This window comes from Homo sapiens, chromosome 11, assembly GCF_000001405.40.
Source record: "Homo sapiens chromosome 11, GRCh38.p14 Primary Assembly".
Classification (NCBI taxonomy): Eukaryota; Metazoa; Chordata; class Mammalia; order Primates; family Hominidae; genus Homo; species Homo sapiens.
In genome coordinates, this window is record NC_000011.10 from 94224018 (window position 1) to 94245471 (window position 21454).

The 21454-nt window shown below is 40.9% G+C and overlaps 1 long non-coding RNA gene across 2 annotated transcripts in view, besides 4 other annotated features; it reads left to right on the plus strand.

Moving 5' to 3' along the window:
- The window catches only part of LOC105369435 (uncharacterized), an 84813-nt gene that overhangs the window by 26609 nt on the left and 36750 nt on the right, over positions 1-21454 (plus strand). The window lies entirely within an intron of this gene.
- Positions 13577-14122: an enhancer, noted in NCBI's record as "NANOG-H3K27ac-H3K4me1 hESC enhancer chr11:93970760-93971305 (GRCh37/hg19 assembly coordinates)". NCBI's record gives its function as "activates a minimal SCP1, AML or CMV promoter by ChIP-STARR-seq in naive H9 embryonic stem cells {active_cell/tissue: H9 hESC(naive)}" and the evidence as "EXISTENCE:reporter gene assay evidence [ECO:0000049][PMID:30033119]".
- Positions 13577-14877: a biological region, named in NCBI's record as "MED14-independent group 3 enhancer GRCh37_chr11:93970861-93972060".
- Positions 13678-14877: an enhancer, noted in NCBI's record as "MED14-independent group 3 enhancer chr11:93970861-93972060 (GRCh37/hg19 assembly coordinates)". NCBI's record gives its function as "activates an origin of replication core promoter dependent on BRD2, BRD4, P300/CBP and CDK7 cofactors, and independent of MED14, by STARR-seq in HCT116 cells {active_cell/tissue: HCT116}" and the evidence as "EXISTENCE:reporter gene assay evidence [ECO:0000049][PMID:35650434]".
- Positions 14123-14667: an enhancer, noted in NCBI's record as "NANOG-H3K27ac-H3K4me1 hESC enhancer chr11:93971306-93971850 (GRCh37/hg19 assembly coordinates)". NCBI's record gives its function as "activates a minimal SCP1, AML or CMV promoter by ChIP-STARR-seq in naive H9 embryonic stem cells {active_cell/tissue: H9 hESC(naive)}" and the evidence as "EXISTENCE:reporter gene assay evidence [ECO:0000049][PMID:30033119]".

Here is a 21454-nt window from a genome sequence, read left to right on the forward strand (position 1 = left end):
AATTAAGAGCCATTCATTGTTTTTCATTTCTATGAATAATATGTCTTTTTTATCTAGTAATACACCCTTCATCTGTTTTCCTCTCCTTGCAATTATTTGTTGAAGAAAACAAGTTGTTATTCCTATAGGATTTCCCACAGCCTTGATGTTGCTGACTCATCTTCATGATGCCATTTTTCATTTGTCATGGTGAACATGTTTCACTGTTCTCTATGTTTTTTGCAAATAGGTAGGTAAATCTAGAGACTTAATCAGATTCACATTTGTGTGTGTGTGTGTGTGTGTGTGTGTGCAGACCATTTCATAAGTGGTGGTGAGTATTTCCTTCAGGAAGCACATAAGTTCCGACCGTTTCTCTTTCTGTGATGCCAGCAGCTGTTGCTGATCATGACTTAGATCTGTTAATTCCTTAGGGGTTACAAATGTTGATGCTCTTATTCTATCGTTCCTTCTTTGTTTTTATATAGAGAAGCTTCATTTCATTAACTATTTGTTACCCAGAAGAAAAAAGGAAATATGCTTATTTCCTTTTATTTGCCAGTTTTCAAATAATATGTAGGGTTTAGAGCACCCTCCAAAGATGATCAATGACCAATTCTGTATTATTATAAATCATGAATTTAAACATACTTAACATGTTTAAATTCATTTTAGTTTTTATCCTTATTGTTGTTCAAGCTGTTTCATCTTTGGCCAGTGGGAGGCTCCTCAACTTAGTTCCTGAGTTTTTTTGAAAAGGTCCTACTGGTTTTTGATAGATTCCTTGCTTTCTGGCATAACAAGATGTTTCAGACTCCCTGTATTAATTTTATAGGACTGCCATATCAAAGTACCACAAATGGAGTGGCTTAAATTTATTCTGTCACAGTTCTGGAGGCTAGAAGTCCAAAATCAAGGTACCAGGCAAGCCATGCTTCCTCTGAGGGCTCTAGGGAAGAATCCTGCTATGCCTCTTCCTAACTTCTGGTGGTCACTGGCAATCCCAGGCATTCCTTGGCTTGCAGCTGCATCATCCCAGTCTCCGCCTCTATCGTCATACAGCCTTCTTTCCTGTATTTCTGTCTGTTTCTGTTTTTCTTCTTGTAAGGACACCAGCCATTGATTTAGAGCCCACTCTAATCATGTATGACCTCTTCTTAGTTTAATTACATTTTGCAAAGACCCTATTTCTTAGTAAGGTCACATTCTGAGAATCCAAGTGGATGTGAATTTTGAAGGAAAGGCTACCAATTTTGGTGAGGAGAAGCACACATTGTAAAGTTCCCACCGTTGAGGTTTGTAGTGAGCAAATGACGACAGAAAAAGAATCAGCAAGAAGAATCAGACTATCTTCAAAAGGAAACCAAACCAGTAGTTCAAGAGGAGAAACCTTGGTCTGGCATTGAGGTCTAACAAGCGTTTCTCTGGATGGGTGACTACACACACAAAAAATCACACATTTAGGAGCAGTCCATGTTTTCAGCAGTAGGTACAGCACCTTTACAGCTCAGACCTCTCTCTTCCTTATTGTCATAAGGAGGTTTCTTTCTCCATAAGAGTGGAGGTTATTCCCCTCTTTGCGCAGATGAACAAGCACAGGAGAAAGAAAAGAATAAACTGGCTATAAGTGTGGTGTAGCTTGTAAGAAGGAGGGGAAAAAGGAGGAGAAAGATAAGGAAGACAAACATTGAGAAAAGAAGCTTTCTTGGATAGGGAAATTGAAGAATGAGCCTTGAAAGGCAGAGTTGAAGGAGCATAAAAGTTGGCATCAGAAAGGCCTCTGCTACTCACAAAACCTGTGACTTTGAATATGTTTCATAATTTCTTTGAGATTCAGTTTTTTAACTGAAAATCAGGAATAATGGTATCCATAATAATATGCTTGCATTTATTCATGTTTCTATTGAGCATCTTCTACTTGCCAGATACTATTGTAGGTGCCAGGGATATGGCAGTGGAAAAACTAGACAGAAATATGTGCCTCATGGCTTCCATTCTAATTCAGGTAGTTGTGAGGTAAAAGTAAAACTGCAGATGTGAACACTGGACAGATAGCAAGTATTCTTAAAGAGTTAGATTCTCTTCATCTGTCCTAATGCTGAGCCACAGATTCAGAGATTGGCAGAGCGCTTAACTTAACAGCAATTTATGTGAGTGAGGACTCTCCTCAAAGAAAGAAACCACCACTCAAAGATCCCATTATGTTCTCAAAGAGTAGGGCAAAAAAAGGCCTACTTGGGATAAATGTCAGTGTTTGTTCTCTGGGAGTAGTTGGGGAGATTTGTTTTAATCTTATGAATTTTTGTTTGTTCTTGTTTTACTGTTCTAGTATGATTGCTAAGAAGGAGGGCCTTAGGAGGTTCCCTAGTAAGATACTATTACATTTTTCTCTCTCAAAAATGTATTGGCTCCCTATAAGGTGACTGGATATCGATTATTATCTGGCCTCAAGTTCCCCCCTACAAAAGCTGCTAAATCTCCTAGGCCCCTGCCTATGAAGCAGGCGTTTGGAATTGGAGGACAGATTTTGTATTAAGCCCCTACCAGGCAGATACTTGAGTGATCACTGGGGCTGAGGTGGGCATCTTATCTGCACAGCCTTGATGACTGGAAGGATCTTCCAAGAATCCCTTAGGGAAGCATTTATGCTCACTTGGACTGGTGGCACCTTTGCACTGTTTTTCGTGTTGGTTTCCCAAATATTGAGCCCTTTGGAAGGATGCTGGGATAAAACTATAGATCTTAACTTTTTGCTTCTAGTTGGAAATTCACATTTCAGGTACTGCACAGGGCGAAGGAATGTTCTAATGGAATTTTTTATTTATTTATTTATTTTTATTTTTTGCTTCCCTGGAAGATTGGGTGATTACAGGAAGGTGTATTCACATGTGGAAAAGGTGATGAACTTGTAGCATCAGTACCCTACAAACTTGAAACCCATCATAAAAAGCTTTGATGATGTAGCAGAAGACACTTTGGTTGACACCAGGAATAGCCTTTGACTCTTAGATCAGATAAAATTCCTAACATAGCACAGTTACAGTGGACAACTGCTTTTTTGTCTCTCTTTGAGAATGTTATTATATTCTGTTTGATTGCAGCAAAAAACTTACATTTAAAATCAAGAAAGCAGAGTCAGAGACCCAGTTATAACCTCTGGAAACCCAAGAGTTTACTGAAGATACTATTTCTCTGGGAATTTTAAGCCATCTTATGGGAGAAAAAGTTTCTAGAATGGTAGCCCAGTCTACTGTTGGGAAAACCAATAACTGGAAAAACACAATTATTGGGATGCACACTGCTGATATATAGGCATATGCTATGCTTTCAATCTTTTTCCCCACAGTCTTATCTCTCTGCTTCTGCCTTGAGGAAAGATCAAAGGGGTTGGCAGGACAACTAAGGCCTTTCCCTTGAGAACATTTAAGCAGGCAACTCAAAGACTCTCTTTCCTACCAGAGCAAGAAAGAAAACCACAGGAAAGTGGAAAACAGGCTGTAGACAGACCTCTGAATGTGTTTCTAAATATTTCTAAAAATTTATTATTCTAATGAAAAGGCTCAGAGTAAGTTAGAAGAACATGTTCTGCTTGGCTTTGAAGAATAAGCAGTGATTACACTTAATTAATGAAAATTGTACCAGATGATATCATGTCATTTATATTTAATTCTTGCTCTAAATTTTGTATCACTTAAAAATATAGTGATTGGCCATGGTGGATACTTAACTCGTTTACTCAGCACATATTTATTATGTATCTACTATGCTAGCTACTGAGATAACAGTGGTAAACATGCATGGTTCCTGCTCTCATGAGGCTTATAGTCTAGGGATAAAGAAAGTCTTAATAAAATCATCTCACTAAAAATATGTAAATTTTCAGCTGAGACATGCTGTGAAGGTAGTAAGCATATGGTGTTTGAGAACCTATAACAGTCAGATTGTACCTATCTGGAAGTCCCTGAGGAAGTGATGTTTTTGTAGAGAGCTAATAAATGAGTGGACGATAACAGGGCTTAGAGGAGGGAGAATGGTTCCAGCAGAGGAAATAGTGTCTGCAAAGTCCTGGGCAGGAGGTAGGGGACCCACCTAGAGAAACTGAGACTACTGTGATGAAAACAGAGCAAAGAGGAGCTTGAATATTAGAGGATAGTAAGTTGGAGAGGAACAGAGAAGATGATGCAAAGCACTCAATCTCTCCATGCCCCAATATCTTCATCTATATAATGGGAATAATAGTAATATCTATATTTAGGGATACTATGAAAATGAAATATTAATATGCATAAAGCACATAGTACCTGTGTACTTTGTGCTAGCTGTTATCATCCTTTCCCATATCCCACTGACAGCATTCTAGCCATGTTATAATCGGAGATCTTGCTTTATTCTAAACAATATTATCAGTTGCTTGAGGTCAGGGATTTTGTCCTATTCATCTTTGGATTGCTTGGGTCTTAAACATAACAATGGCTAAATAAACATTTTCCAAATTATTTTTTTCTGGAACTTACCATATGCAAGACCTATCTAGGCACAGTGAAGTCTCAAGTTCTTTGAGACTTTTGTGGTTTGAGGATACTAATATTTAAAACAATTTCTTATCAAAATATACACACAGCAAAAGAAACATAAGTCAAAATTCCGACTTAATATATTTTCACAAACAAATGCATTCTTACAGCCAACTGTCAGATGAAGAAACATTATCTGCACTCAGGAAAACTCTTTTATCCTATTTTGGCATTATTCACCTCCAAGGGAAGTCACTATTCTGACTCCAACTTGACTGTTTTGTAGTTTATATAGATAGAATAAAACAATATAGACACTTTCCTGTCTAACTTCTTTCACTCAACATTATAGTTGTGAGGTCCATCCACATTGTTGTGTGTAGTCATAGTTCATTTTTATTGCTGTAGCCTATACTATAATTTATTCGTTCTACTCTTGATGGGCTTTTGGGCAGTGACTAGTCTGTGACTATTATAAATAGTATTGCTTTCAACATTCCAGAACATGTCATTTGGTGAGTAGATATACGCATTTTTATTGGCTACACACCTAGGAGTGAAATGCTGGGTCATAGGGTATACATATGTTCAGCTTTAGGAGATATGGCTGAGCTGTTTTCCAAAGAGATTGTACCAATTTATACAGCCCACCAGCAGTCGATGAAAGTTGCAGTTCCTTCACATACTCATCAACACTTGGCATTTTCTTTCTTTTTCTATATTAATTATGCTTAAAATGTATATTTGATCAGCTTCTCACCAGGTTGGAATGTAGAAACTGTGGTACATCTCCATGGCAGGGCAAGCCAGGGCTGTGTCATTAATTCAGATGATTCCCTGCCAGAAATCTTTTATTCAATAATCAGTGATTAAGAGCCTACTCTGTTCTAGCTGCTGGAGATTCCAGGAGAATAAAGTATGGTCCCAGGTCACGAGCCATCATGGCTCAAGTCAAGAGAAGAGCGATGGAGTTGGATCCTTATATATACAAACAAGGTGACACAACAATACAGAGAATGGGATTTTCTGACTACCTGGGGGCCACAGAGAAGGCTCACAAAGGAGGGGACATTTGCGATCTGTAGTTCCAAATGTAGTTCATCTGTAGTTCCCATAATCCTCACATGTCATGGGAGGGACCCAGTGGGAGGTAATTGAATCATGGGGGTGGTTACCTCCATGCTGTTACTCTGATAGTGAGTGAGTTCGCAAGAGATCTGATGGTTTTATCAGGGACTTTCCCCCCAATTCCCTCTGCACCTCTTGCTGCTGCCATGTGAAGAAGGATGTGTTTGCTTCCCCTTCCACCATGATTGTAAGTTTCCTGAGACCTCCCCAGTTATGCTGAACTGTCAGTCAAACCTCTTTCCTTTATAAATTACCTAGTCTTGGATATGTCTTTATTGGCAGTGTGAGAACAGACTAATATACTGGCTAATTTATAAACCACAGAAATTTATTTCTTACAGTTCTGGAGATTGGGAAGTCCAACATCAAGGCACTGGCAGATTTAGGGACTGGTGAGGAACTGTTAACTGGTTCATAGATGGTGCCTTATTTCTGTGTCTTCACATGGTGGAAGGGGTTAGCTAGTTTTCTGGGGTCTCTTTAATAAGGACACTAATCCCATTGATAAAAGCTCTACTCTCATGATCTAATTACCTCCCAAGGGCTTCACCTCCAATATCATGCCATTGGGATTTAGATTTCAATATTTGAATTTTGGGGGGACTCAAGTGTTCAGATTATTGCACTCATTTTTTGATACACTCCAGTATTTCAATGTCTCTGTTCGTGTAGCATCTTGAGTGGAACAAAATACTCAAGGGTTGTCTTTACCAGCTTGAAATAAATTGGGACATCAACATTAAAATTCTGAATACTTAATTTATACTAATGCATTTGTATTTCAGTTAGCTTTATGTTTTGGCTTGCTGCTTTGTCGTATCCAGCCCATTTCCCTTTCCTCCTGGGCACACAACTAGACCACATTTTCCATGTCTCTTGCAATCAGCTGTGGCCATATGACTGAGCTCTGGCCAATGAAACATGGCCAGAAGTAGTAGGTATCATTTCTGGACAGAAGCAGGTGGGTGTACCTTTTTCTTTGTCTCTCTCCTCATTTACCAGTTGAATGGGACCACCATAAGGAAGGCCGAGCCACAGTTGGAAAGAGACTGGGCACCTGAATGTTGATGTTGAAGGCTGCTGGGCCATGCCACCACACCGGACTGTGTCCTAGGGAGACGTACCCATATTGTGCTAAGTCACAGAGACTGCAAGGTTTAGCATACAGCAGCTAGAGTCACTTTAACTAAAACAGGGTAACAGTGGTCTCCCTTGTCTTGATCTTCTCTTCCACTACTTCCCCCAAAGTACTAACAAAAGATCCGCAATTACATCTGCAACTTCTCCCAGCACAGTGAGAATTATTCTATCAGGGGAGCCTCAAGGTCACTTAGATGAATTCTGAACTCTCTTATGGTCTTTTTTGCTCTTGGATCTCTATAGGGTCTAGCTAGTATGACCCTGCTTTTTCCAGTCTGACAACTATTGATTCTTAAGAGAAGAGACAAACTGAGGCAGGATTGGGGCAGTTCTGCATTCTCTCTCTATTGGCAACACTGCAACATCTGAGAGTTGTTATTTCCTTTGACGACAAAACAGAAAGCATGTGTCCTTCCTCCTGCTGAGTGGCAAAACAAGATGCCCATCCTACACACTGTCCAGAACAGCAGGTCCTCACAGTCTTCTCAGAAAATCCAGGCCGAATGAAGAGAAAAAGGAAGGCCAATGCCAGCCAGTTGCATCTTTCATAGAATGAGTTAAGCATTGGCCTAGCATAAGGTACACAGGCAGGCTGACATGGCTGATGGGCTCCTGATGCCACATCATTAGTACTCTGAATGACTCAGATACTGTTATTTTCTGGTAGGTCATGTTGACTTGAGATCTAGAAGAAACACTGGTCCAGAAGTCATAATGCCTGGGTTTCAATGGATCCAATAATAGCTACCACTTATGGGGTCCTTGCTGTGTTTTAGATCTTCCTGGGCACTTTTTATACATCATGTCAAGTATCTCTTTTGGAATAAGATATGAATTTCTGTGCCTATAAATTTTATATATATTTCTATTTTACAGGCAATTTTACAGATATCTCCATTTTACAGATAAAGACATTGAGGCTCTGACTGCTATATGCTCAATAGTATGCTAGTCCCTCCCGGAAATAGATTAAGACTCTGACTTGGATGAGTTTAAAATCTCCTTAAGGAAGTGAGACTTTCCTGAAGCAATCGGGGAATCACACCCAATAGCATACAAAGTTAGATGGAGATGGAGTGTCCCGGCTGCAGAGAGTGGGAGTGAGAGTCACACCCAGCCTGAGAGGCCTGGATTGCCAGGTACCAGGGGTCGGGATGGACAGACACCAGGAGCTAAGTGGGAGTACAGCCAGCCTTGAGGTGTATATGGGGAGGCATAGTTGAAACCAGTCTGGGAGACGGGAGACAGGATATTTGGAGTAAGCTCAGGATGGCCTGTTTTTATTCTGTTTGGCAGCTGGACCAGGACTGTCTTAGAGCAGTAATTCTTAACCTTGGCAAGACATAAAAGATGCTAAGGAAATTTTTTTTTAAATTATACTTTAAGTTTTACGGTACATGGGCACAACGTGCAGGTTTGTTACATATGTATACATGTGCCATGTTGGCGTACTGCACCCATTAACTCATCATTTAACTTTAGGTATATCTCCTAATGCTATCCCTCCCCCAACCCCCCACACAACAACAGGCCCCAGTGTGTGATGTTCCCCTTTCTGTGTCCACGTGTTCTCATTGTTCAATTCCCACCTATGAGTGAGAACATGCAGTGTTTGCTTTTTTGTCCTTGCAATAGTTTGCTCAGAATGATGGTTTCCAGCTTCATCCATGTCCCTACAAAGGATATGAACTCATCATTTTTTATGGCTGCATAGTACTCCATGGTGTATATGTGCCATATTTTCTTTTTTTTTTTTATTATACTTTAAGTTTTAGGGTACATGTGCACGTTGTGCAGGTTAGTTACATATGTATACATGTGCCATGCTGGTGCACTGCACCCACTAACTCGTCATCTGGCATTACGTATATCTCCCAATGCTATCCCTCCCCCCTGCCCCCACCCCACAACAGTCCCCAGAGTGTGATATTCCCCTTCCTGTGTCCATGTGATCTCATTGTTCAATTCCCACCTATGAGTGAGAATATGCGGTGTTTGGATTTTTGTTCTTGCGATAGTTTACTGAGAATGATGATTTCCAGTTTCATCCATGTCCCTACAAAGGACATGAACTCATCATTTTGTATGGCTGCATAGTATTCCATGGTGTATATGTGCCACATTTTCTTAATCCAGTCTATCGTTGTTGGACATTTGGGTTGGTTCCAAGTCTTTGCTATTGTGAATAATGCCGCAATAAACATACGTGTGCATGTGTCTTTATAGCAACATGATTTATAGTCCTTTGGGTATATACCCAGTAATGGGATGGCTGGGTCAAATGGTATTTCTAGTTCTAGATCCCTGAGGAATCGCCACACTGACTTCCACAATGGTTGAACTAGTTTACAGTCCCACCAACAGTGTAAAAGTGTTCCTATTTCTCCACATCCTCTCCAGCACCTGTTGTTTCCTGACTTTTTAATGATTGCCATTCTAACTGGTGTGAGATGGTATCTCATTGTGGTTTTGATTTGCATTTCTCTGATGGCCAGTGATGATGAGCATTTTTTCATGTGTTTTTTGGCTGCATAAATGTCTTCTTTTGAGAAGTGTCTGTTCATGTCCTTCGCCCACTTTTTGATGGGGTTGTTTGTTTTTTTCTTGTAAATTTGTTTGAGTTCATTGTAGATTCTGGATATTAGCCCTTTGTCAGATGAGTAGGTGGTGAAAATTTTCTCTGATTCCGTAGGTTGCCTATTCACTCTGATGGTAGTTTCTTTTGCTGTGCAGAAGCTCTTTAGTTTAATTAGATCCCATTTGTCAATTTTGTCTTTTATTGCCATTGCTTTTGGTGTTTTGGACATGAAGTCCTTGCCCATGCCTATGTCCTGAATGGTAATGCCTAGGTTTTCTTCTAGGGTTTTTATGGTTTTAGGTCTAACGTTTAAGTCTTTAATCCAACTTGAATTGATTTTTGTGTAAGGTGTAAGGAAGGGATCCAGTTTCAGCTTTCTACATATGGCTAGCCAGTTTTCCCAGCACCATTTATTAAATAGGGAATCCTTTCCCCATTGCTTGTTTTTCTCAGGTTTGTCAAAGATCAGATAGTTGTAGATATGCGGCGTTATTTCTGAGGGCTCTGTTCTGTTCCATTGATCTATATCTCTGTTTTGGTACCAGTACCATGCTGTTTTGGTTACTGTAGCCTTGTAGTATAGTTTGAAGTCAGGTAGTGTGATGCCTCCAGCTTTGTTCTTTTGGCTTGGGATTGCCTTGGCGATGCAGGCTCTTTTTTGGTTCCATATGAACTTTAAAGTAGTTTTTTCCAATTCTGTGAAGAAAGTCACTGGTAGCTTGATGGGGATGGCATTGAATCTGTAAATTACCTTGGGCAGTATGGCCATTTTCACGATATTGATTCTTCCTACCCATGAGCATGGAATGTTCTTCCATTTGTTTGTATCCTCTTTTATTTCCTTGAGCAGTGGTTTGTAGTTCTCCTTGAAGAGGTCCTTCACATCCCTTGTAAGTTGGATTCCTAGGTATTTTATTCTCTTTGAAGCAATTGTGAATGGGAGTTCACTCATGATTTGGCTCTCTGTCTGTTGTTGGTCTATAAGAATGCTTGTGATTTTTGTACATTGATTTTGTATCCTGAGAGTTTGCTGAAGTTGCTTATCAGCTTAAGGAGATTTTGGGCTGAGACAATGGGGTTTTCTAGATATACAATCATGTCATCTGCAAACAGGGACAATTTGACTTCCTCTTTTCCTAATTGAATACCCTTTATTTCCTTCTCCTGCCTGATTGCCCTGGCCAGAACTACCAACACTATGTTGAATAGGAGTGGTGAGAGAGGGCATCCCTGTCTTGTGCCAGTTTTCAAAGGGAGTGCTTCCGGTTTTTGCCCATTTAGTATGATATTGGCTGTGGGTTTGTCATAGATAGCTCTTATTATTTTGAAATACGTCCCATTAATACCTAATTTATTGAGAGTTTTTAGCATGAAGGGTTCTTGAATTTTGTCAAAGGCCTTTTCTGCATCTATTGAGATAATCCTGTGGTTTTTGTCTTTGGCTCTGTTTATATGCTGGATTACATTTATTGATTTGCGTATATTGAACCAGCCTTGCATCCCAGGGATGAAGCCCACTTGATCATGGTGGATAAGCTTTTTGATGTGCTGCTGGATTCGGTTTGCCAGTATTTTATTGAGGATTTTTGCATCAATGTTCATCAAGGATATTGGTCTAAAATTCTCTTTTTTTGTTGTGTCCCTGCCCGGCTTTGGTATCAGAATGATGCTGGTCTCATAAAATGAGTTAGGGAGGATTCCCTCTTTTTCTATTGATTGGAATAGTTTCAGAAGGAATGGTACCAGTTCCTCCTTGTACCTCTGGTAGAATTCGGCTGTGAATCCATCTGGTCCTGGACTCTTTTTGGTTGGTAAACTATTGATTATTGCCACAATTTCAGCTCCTGTTATTGGTCTATTCAGAGATTCAACTTCTTCCTGGCTTAGTCTTGGGAGAGTGTATGTGTCGAGGAATGTAGCCATTTCTTCTAGATTTTCTAGTTTATTTGCGTAGAGGTGTTTGTAGTATTCTCTGATGGTAGTTTGTATTTCTGTGGGATCGGTGGTGATAGCCCCTTTATCATTTTTTATTGTGTCTATTTGATTCTTCTCTCTTTTTTTCTTTATTAGTCTTGCTAGTGGTCTATCAATTTTGTTGATCCTTTCGAAAAACCAGCTCCTGGATTCATTAATTTTTTGAAGGGTCTTTTGTGTCTCTATTTCCTTCAGTTCTGCTGTGATTTTAGTTATTTCTTGCCTTCTGCTAGCTTTTGAATGTGTTTGCTCTTGCTTTTCTAGTTCTTTTAATTGTGATGTTAGGGTGTCAATTTTGGATCTTTCCTGCTTTCTCTTGTGGGCATTTAGTGCTATAAATTTCCCTCTACACACTGCTTTGAATGTGTCCCAGAGATTCTGGTATGTTGTGTCTTTGTTCTCGTTGGTTTCAAAGAACATCTTTATTTCTGCCTTCATTTCGTTATGTATCCAGTAGTCGTTCAGGAGCAGGTTGTTCAGTTTCCATGTAGTTGAGCGGTTTTGAGTGAGATTCTTAATTCTGAGTTCTAGTTTGATTGCACTGTGGTCTGAGAGATAGTTTGTTATAATCTCTGTTCTTTTACATTTGCTGAGGAGAGCTTCCAAGTATGTGGTCAATTTTGGAATAGGTGTGGTGTGGTGCTGAAAAAAATGTATATTCTGTTGATTTGGGGTGGAGAGTTCTGTAGATGTCTATTAGGTCCGCTTGGTGCAAAGCTGAGTTCAATTCCTGGGTATCCTTGTTGACTTTCTGTCTCATTGATCTGTCTAATGTTGACAGTGGGGTGTTAAAGTCTCCCATTATTATTGTGTGGGAGTCTAAGTCTCTTTATAGGTCACTCAGGACTTGCTTTATGAATCTGGGTGCTCCTGTATTGGGTGCATATATATTTAGGATAGTTAGCTCTTCTTGTTGAATTGATCCATTTACCATTATGTAATGGCCTTCTTTGTCTCTTTTGATCTTTGTTGGTTTAAAGTCTGTTTTATCAGAGACTAGGATTGTAACTCCTGCCTTTTTTTGTTTTCCATTTGCTTGGTAGATCTTCCTCCATCCCTTTATTTTGAGCCTGTGTGTGTGTCTGCACGTGAGATGGGTCTCCTGAATACAGCACACTGATGGGTCTTGACTCTTTATCCAATTTGCCAGTCTGTGTCTTTTAATTGGAGCATTTAGTCCATTTACATTTAAAGTTAATATGGTTATGTGTGAATTTGATCCTGTCATTATGATGTTAGTCAGTTATTTTGCTCATTAGTTGATGTAGTTTCTTCCTAGTCTCGATGGTCTTTACATTTTGGCATGATTTTGCAGCGGCTGGTACTGATTGTTCCTTTCCATGTTCAGCGCTTCCTTCAGGAGCTCTTTTAGGGCAGGCCTGGTGGTGACAAAATCTCTCAGCATTTGCTTGTCTGTAAAGGATTTTATTTCTCCTTCACTTATGAAGCTTAGTTTGGCTGGATATGAAATTCTGGGTTGAAAATTCTTTTCTTTAAGAATGTTGAATATTGGCCCCCACTCTCTTCTGGCTTGTAGGGTTTCTGCTGAGAGATCTGCTGTTAGTCTGATGGGCTTCCCTTTGAGGGTAACCCGACCTTTCTCTCTGGCTGCCCTTAACATTTTTTCCTTCATTTCAACTTTGGTGAATCTGACAATTATGTGTCTTGGAGTTGCTCTTCTCGAGGAGTATCTTTGTGGCGTTCTCTGTATTTCCTGAATCTGAACATTGGCCTGCCTTGCTAGATTGGGGAAGTTCTCCTGGATAATATCCTGCAGAGTGTTTTCCAACTTGGTTCCATTCTCCCCATCACTTTCAGGTACACCAATCAGACGTAGATTTGGTCTTTTCACATAGTCCCATATTTCTTGGAGGCTTTGCTCGTTTCTTTTTATTCTTTTTTCTCTAAACTTCCCTTCTCGCTTCATTTCATTCATTTCATCTTCCATTGCTGATACCCTTTCTTCCAGTTGATCGCATCGGCTCCTGAGGCTTCTGCATTCTTCACGTAGTTCTCGAGCCTTGGTTTTCAGCTCCATCAGCTCCTTTAAGCACTTCTCTGTATTGGTTATTCTAGTTATACATTCTTCTAAATTTTTTTCAAAGTTTTCAACTTCTTTGCCTTTGGTTTGAATGTCCTCCCGTAGCTCAGAGTAATTTGATCGTCTGAAGCCTTCTTCTCTCAGCTCGTCAAAGTCATTCTCCATCCAGCTCTGTTCCGTTGCTGGTGAGGAACGGCGTTCCTTTGGAGGAGGAGAAGCGCTCTGTGTTTTAGAGTTTCCCGTTTTTCTGTTCTGCTTTTTCCCCATCTTTGTGGTTTTATCTACCTTTGGTCTTTGATGATGGTGATGTACAGATGGGTTTTTGGTGTGGATGTCCTTTCTGTTTGTTAGTTTTCCTTCTAACAGAGAGGATCCTCAGCTGCAGGTCTGTTGGAATACCCTGCCATGTGAGGTGTCAGTGTGCCCCTGCTGGCGGGTGCCTGCCAGTTAGGCTGCTCGGGGGTCAGGGACCCACTTGAGGAGGCAGTCTGCCCGTTTTCAGATCTCCAGCTGCGTGCTGGGAGAACCACTGCTCTCTTCAAAGCTGTCAGACAGGGACATTTAAGTATGCAGAGGTTACTGCTGTCTTTTTGTTTGTCTGTGCCCTGTCCCCAGAGGTGGAGCCTACAGAGGCAGGCAGGCCTCCTTGAGCTGTGGTGGGCTCCACCCAGTTCGAGCATCGGGGCTGCTTTGTTTACCTAAGCAAGCCTGGGCAATGGCGGGCGCCCCTCCCCCAGCCTCGCTGCCGCCTTGCAGTTTGATCTCAGACTGCTGTGCTAGCAATCAGCGAGACTCCGTGGGCATAGGACCCTCTGAGCCAGGTGCGGGATATAATCTCGTGGTGCACCGTTTTTTAAGCCAGTCTGAAAAGCGCAATATTCGGGTGGGAGTGACCCGATTTTCCAGGTGAGTCCGTCACCCCTTTCTTTGACTCGGAAAGGGAACTCCCTGACCCCTTGCACTTCCCAAGTGAGGCAATGCCTTGCCCTGCTTCGGCTCGTGCAAACCCACTGACCTGCGCCCACTGTCTGGCACTCCCTAGTGAGATGAACCCGGTACCTCAGATGGAAATGCAGAAATCACCCATCTTCTGCGTCGCTCACGCTGGGAGCTATAGACCGGAGCTGTTCCTATTCGGCCATCTTGGCTCCTCCTTCGCCACATTTTCTTAATCCAGTCTATCGTTGTTGGACATTTGGGTTGGTTCCAAGTCTTTGCTATTGTGAATAGTGCCACAATAAACATACGTGCGCATGGGTCTTTATAGCAGCATGATTTATAATCCTTTGGGTATATACCCAATAATGGGATTGCTGGGTCAAATGGTATTTCTAGTTCTAGATCCCTGAGGAATCGCCACACTGACTTCCACAATGGTTGAACTAGTTTACAGTCCCACCACCAGTGTAAAAGTGTTCCTGTTTCTCCACATCCTCTCTAGCACCTGTTGTTTCCTGATTTTTAATGATTGGCATTCTCACTGGTGTAAGATGGTATCTCATTGTGATTTTGATTTGCATTTCTCTGATGGCCAGTGATGATGAGCATTTTTTCATGTGTCTGTTGGCTGCATAAATGTCTTCTTTTGAGAAGTGTCTGTTCATATCCTTTGCCCACTTGTTGATGGGGTTGTTTGTCTTTTTCTTGTAAATTTGTTTGAGTTCATTGTAGATTCTGGATATTAGCCCTTTGTCAGATGAGTAGATTGCAAAAATTTTCTCCCATTCTATAGGTTGGCTGTTCACTCTGATGGTAGTTTCTTTTGCTGTGCAGAAGCTCTTTAGTTTAATTAGATCCCATTTGTCAATTTTGTCTTTTATTGCCATTGCTTTTGGTGTTTTGGACATGAAGTCCTTGCCCATGCCTATGTCCTGAATGGTAATGCCTAGGTTTTCTTCTAGGGTTTTTATGGTTTTAGGTCTAACGTTTAAGTCTTTAATCCAACTTGAATTGATTTTTGTGTAAGGTGTAAGGAAGGGATCCAGTTTCAGCTTTCTACATATGGCTAGCCAGTTTTCCCAGCACCATTTATTAAATAGGGAATCCTTTCCCCATTGCTTGTTTTTCTCAGGTTTGTCAAAGATCAGATAGTTGTAGATATGCGGCGTTATTTCTGAGGGCTCTGTTCTGTTCCATTGATCTATATCTCTGTTTTGGTACCAGTACCATGCTGTTTTGGTTACTGTAGCCTTGTAGTATAGTTTGAAGTCAGGTAGTGTGATGCCTCCAGCTTTGTTCTTTTGGCTTGGGATTGCCTTGGCGATGCAGGCTCTTTTTTGGTTCCATATGAACTTTAAAGTAGTTTTTTCCAATTCTGTGAAGAAAGTCATTGGTAGCTTGATGGGGATGGCATTGAATCTGTAAATTACCTTGGGCAGTATGGCCATTTTCACGATATTGATTCTTCCTACCCATGAGCATGGAATGTTCTTCCATTTGTTTGTATCCTCTTTTATTTCCTTGAGCAGTGGTTTGTAGTTCTCCTTGAAGAGGTCCTTCACATCCCTTGTAAGTTGGATTCCTAGGTATTTTATTCTCTTTGAAGCAATTGTGAATGGGAGTTCACTCATGATTTGGCTCTCTGTCTGTTGTTGGTCTATAAGAATGCTTGTGATTTTTGCACATTGATTTTGTATCGTGAGACTTTGCTGAAGTTGCTTATCAGCTTAAGGAGATTTTGGGCTGAGACAGTGGGGTTTTCTAGATATACAATCATGTCATCTGCAAACAGGGATAATTTGACTTCCTCTTTTCCTAATTGAATACCCTTTATTTCCTTCTCCTGCCTGATTGCCCTGGCCAGAACTTCCAACACTATGTTGAATAGGAGTGGTGAGAGAGGGCATCCCTGTCTTGTGCCAGTTTTCAAAGGGAGTGCTTCCGGTTTTTGCCCATTCAGTATGATATTGGCTGTGGGTTTGTCATAGATAGCTCTTATTATTTTGAAATACGTCCCATGAATACCTAATATATTGAGAGTTTTTAGCATGAAGTGTTCTTGAATTTTGTCAAAGGCCTTTTCTGCATCTATTGTAATAATCATGTGGTTTTTGTCGTTGGTTCTGTTTATATGCTGGATTATGTTTATTGATTTGTGTATGTTGAACCAGCCTTGCATCCCAGGGATGAAGCCCACTTGATCATGGTGGATAAGCTTTTTGATGTGCTGCTGGATTCAGTTTGCCAGTATTTTATTGAGGATTTTTGCATCGATGTTCATCAGGGATATTGGTCTAAAATTCTCTTTTTTTGTTGTGTCTCTGCCCGGCTTTGGTATCAGGATGATGCTGGCCTCACAAAATGAGTTAGGGAGGACTTCCTCTTTTCTATTGATTGGAATAGTTTCAGAAGGAATGGTAACAGCTCCTCCTTGTACCTCTGGTAGAATTCGGCTGTGAATCCATCTGGTCCTGGACCGTTTTTGGTTGGTAAGCTATTAATTATTGCCTCAATTTCAGAGCCTATCATTGGTCTATTCAGAGATTCAGCTTCCTGGTTTAGTCTTGGGAGGGTGTATGTGTCCAGGAACTTATCCATTTCTTCTAGATTTTCTAGTTTATTTGCATAGAGGTGTTTATAGTATTCTCTGATGGTAGTTTGTATTTCTGTGGGTTCAGTTGTGATATCCCCTTTATCATTTTTTTTTGCATCTATTTGATTCTTCTCTCTTTTCTTCTTTGTTAGTCTTGCTAGCGGTCTATCAATCAGTTTTGTTGATCTTTTCAAAAAACCAGCTCCTGGATTCATTGATTTTTTGAAGGGTTTTTTGTGTCTCTATTTCCTTCAGTTCTTCTCTGATCTTAGTTATTTCTTGCCTTCTGCTAGCTTTTGAATGTGTTTGCTCTTGCTTCTCTAGTTCTTTTAATTGTGATGTTAGGGTGTCAATTTTAGATCTTTCCTGCTTTTTAAAAAAAATATGAATGCCTGAGCCTCATCCCCCAAGATTCTGATTTAGTGTGCCTGATTTAATGGGGTTGGGTCTTGGCATTGGGATTTTTCAGAGCTGCCCAGAAGATTCCAAAATGAATTCAAGACTGAGCACCACTGCCTTAAAGGCACCACCAGACAGTTACCTATCATTCCTGCATCATCTCAAATGTGCTTCTCCACTCACTAGTTGTTGGTAACTCTTATAGGTGTGTTTCCGAGAAGGAAACTGTCAAAGAACCCTGGAGTTAAGAAGGGCAGGCTCTCTGGAAAAGGTGAGACTCCAGGGAGCCTTTGAAGGACTAAAGTTTCTCTTAGGACAGGAGGGCTGTAAAGCAGTAGAGCCAAAGACCTGGAGCCCCCACATCCTGTCTGCCAGATGAAATCCTGCTTCCCTTTAAGGGAGGAGGCATGATAAAACATTTTGTTTTTCTTTTTCTCTCCCAAAATCTGCTTGTGTAAAAAATAAAAAAGAAACTGCTTCGGGAAAAAAAATTGCTTTAGAAGCCTAATCTATTGCTTGAGAAAATAGTAGCATCTCTATATTTTAAGTGGTGAGTTTATGAGACAAATTCTTTTTTGGAGGACCAATGAAAGAGATTGAAAATATAATTGAAATTCCAAGCAGATTTTGGGAGAGAAAAAGAAAAACAAAACAAAACAACCCTAAAGGCAGGCCTGAGAAAAGTTCTGGCAGACTGAGAAAACAAAGATTTAGATGAATCAGCCTAGAAAGATGGAAGTTCATTCCTTCTGTGCTGCCCGAGGATGATAGCACAGAGGCAGAATGTCCTCTTGTACATTGTCAGAATTTTTCAAGTTTCTGTGGCGTTTACACTCAGCAGAATGAGAAGTAGAACCAGAGATCCTTCTCCTCACCATACCACACCTGCCTTAGAATCTTGAAAAGGCACATTTGACATTCCTTCTGTTGAACTGCCACCTTCACTTTGGGATCCCTTCAGGGCAGCCTGTTCTCTCCAGGTCTTCATTTCTTTGACTTTCCTGAAAACAAATGGGAGGCCCAGTCTCCTACTTTCCCTTCTCAAGTCATCCTTGGGGACTTATCCTCAATGATCAGAATGGCTGTGCAAGCTGTGGACCATGGAAATCCAAGCTGGTAATAAGACTGCTACTGCTGGTGGGATTTTCAGGCCCAGTAGGAGCCTCCTTCCTAATCTCTCCAGACCAAGGCCTGGCCCCACCCCACCCCACTTTGCCCAGGGTATCCCCATTAAATAAAGAAGGTAGATTTCAAGCTGGCCCTAAAGATTCATCTTTTAGTCTCTAAGTGCCTCAAAATGGCCAGCTTTGATTCCAGGGCTTCTAATTCCAGGCCCTGGAAGTTTTTCCTTCAGCATTGGCCATGTTCCCTCTGTCCTGTGGGGTTCCCTGCAGCATGTTTGATGATTGTTAAAGTTGGTTTTACCAGTGAATACAGTCTCCATTCCTGCCTGCTTTTTCTCTCGTGCTACTGAATTTTAAGTAGGACAGAGTTACCCAGGATCTTTTTCCTCATGTCTTTGAAAACAACCAAAAAGCTGAACATAAAAATGGACAATGGCCATTTTTAAGTTGATCAGTGTCCATCGCCAGACAAATGGTTAAAGAAAATGTAGTACATATACACAATGGAGTACTATTCAGCCATAAAAAGAATGAGATCCTGTCATTTGCAACAACATGAATGGAACCGAGAGACATTAAGTGAAACAAGCCAGACACAGAAAGACAAACTTTGCATGTTCTAATTTGTGAGAGCTAAAAAATTAAAACAATTGAACTCATGGAGATAGAGAGTAGAATGATGGATACCAGAGGCTGGGAAGGGTAGTCAGGGGGGTGAGAAGTGGGGATGGTTAATGAGTGTAAAAATGTAGTTAGTTAGAAAGAATGAATAAGATCTATTTGATAGCACAACAGGGTGATTACAGTCCACAATAATTTATTGTATATTTAAAAATAACTAAAAGAGTATAATTGGATTGTTTGTCACATAAAAGAAAGGATAAATGCTTGAGGTGATGGATATCCCATTTACCCTGATATAATTATTACCCATTGTATGCCTATATCAAAATATGCCATGTATCCTATAAATATATATACCCACACAAAATGTATGTACCCACACAAAAAAAATCAGATTGGAGGATTCCATTTATATAAAGTCCACAAACAGGCACAACAGGTCTATGCTGGTGGAAATAAGAAAGTGGTTGGCTCTGTGATGGAGGGGAGGGGTGGTGGAGAGTGAGAAAGGAATGTGTTGAATTGACTGGAAAAGATCATCAGGAAGCTTTCCAGAGGGTCAGAAATGTTCTAGATCTTATTGAGTGATGGGTACATGACACATACAGTTGTCAAAACTTATTGATCTGAATACTTAAGATCTGTGCATTTTATGATACGTAAATTACACCTTGTGGCAGGCAGCCTGTACAATGATCCCTGATTCCTGGCACTCACACTCTTGTGGAATTCCCTCTCCTGGATTGTGTGCTGAACCTAGCGACTCCCTTTCAACAAATAGATACAGCAAAAGTGAGGCATTGTCACTTCTGAGATGAGGTTACAAAGGCTGTGGCTGTCAGGTGCTCTCTTGCCCTTCTTGCCTCGCTTGCTCCCTATTGTGAACTGCTGTATGTAGAGGCCCGCATGGCAAGGAACTGATGACTCTGACCAACAGCCAGCAAGAACTTGAGACCTGACAGCAGCTACATGAGTGAGTTTGAAAGCAGCTCTTCCCCCAGCTGAGCCTTGAGAGGAAACCACAGTCCCTCCTGGTATTTTGATTGTAGCCTTGAATGAGACCCTGAGCCAGAGACACCCAGTGAGGCTATGCCTGGATTCTCAACCCACAGAGACTATGAGATAATAAATAGTTGTTGCTTTAAGCCACTGCATTTTAGGGTAATTTAATTTATTCTAAGGCAATACATAACTAATGCACCAATGAAATCTGGTCTGTATTTAAAATTTGCAATGCTCATTAAAAAGGAAGTGAAGCACAGTGCCTAGTAGCATATGCTTCTGTTCTTTTCCTTGCCCAGAGGATCTTCTCTGACCATTTGCAACAACATGAGTGGAACTCAGTTGCCCCACCCAATTCTTTCCCTGGAAAGCCTTCTTACAGAATAACAGTTTTATAATATTACAATGACTAGGATATACTCATAGACCTTCTCCAAGGCATGGGAAGAGAGATTCTCCACATTGTCTTATGGGAGCACTCCTAGCTCTGAGCTGCTAATGGAATTCAAACATCCTGACACCTGGCATGGAGAGAGGTGGGAGGAAGCTCTGTTGGACGTATGGATGGTCTCACTCAGATGGTTGGTCTTTGCCCACAAGTCCTCCCTCATGTCTCCACCTCCCTCGGCTGGTGAAGGTAGAGAGAGATGCAGCCTCCTTGGCCAGCATCACCTTTGCTGGAAGGACAATGCACAGAATGTGAACTGTGGAACCACATGGACCTGAGTTCAAATCTCAGGTTCACTTTTATGAGCTGGGTGACCTTTAGTGGATCATGAATCCTCTCTGAGGCTCTTGGGGATCTCATCTATGAAATTAAGAGAACTCTCACCTTGAGGAGTTATTGTAAGAATTAAAGACATGCACCAACATGGATGAATCTAATATGCATTATACTAAGGGAAAGAAGGCAGACTCAAAAGGCTACATTACATGACATTCTGGAAAAGGCAAAACTATAGTAACAGAAAACAGATCAGTGCAGGTGAGAGGTGGGAAGAGGGGTGGACTACAATGGCCACAAAATAATTTTTAGGGCAATGGAACTGTTCTGTATCTTGATTACAGTGATGGCTACAGAAATGTATGTATTTGTCCAAAAATCACAGAACTATACACTAAAAAGGTTGAATTTTGCAGTATGTAAATTATACCTCAATAAACCTGCTTTTAAAATTAATGGAAGGATGTAAAAGGTGCAGACTCAGTAACTCTCTCAGTCTGGCTCACCAAGACAGACAGCTGTACAGGCTTAGTCACAGCTCTGAGCTTGCTGAGGTAGTCAAGGTCTTAGTCACACTCTGAGCTCCCTGAGTTAGTGAGGGTCTTATAAGCCAAGATTGTTTTTCCCATAACCCTCCCTCCTCAGCCTCTAAGACTGTCTGCCAACTCCTCCCTGCCTGGGGGGACTTGTTGCTT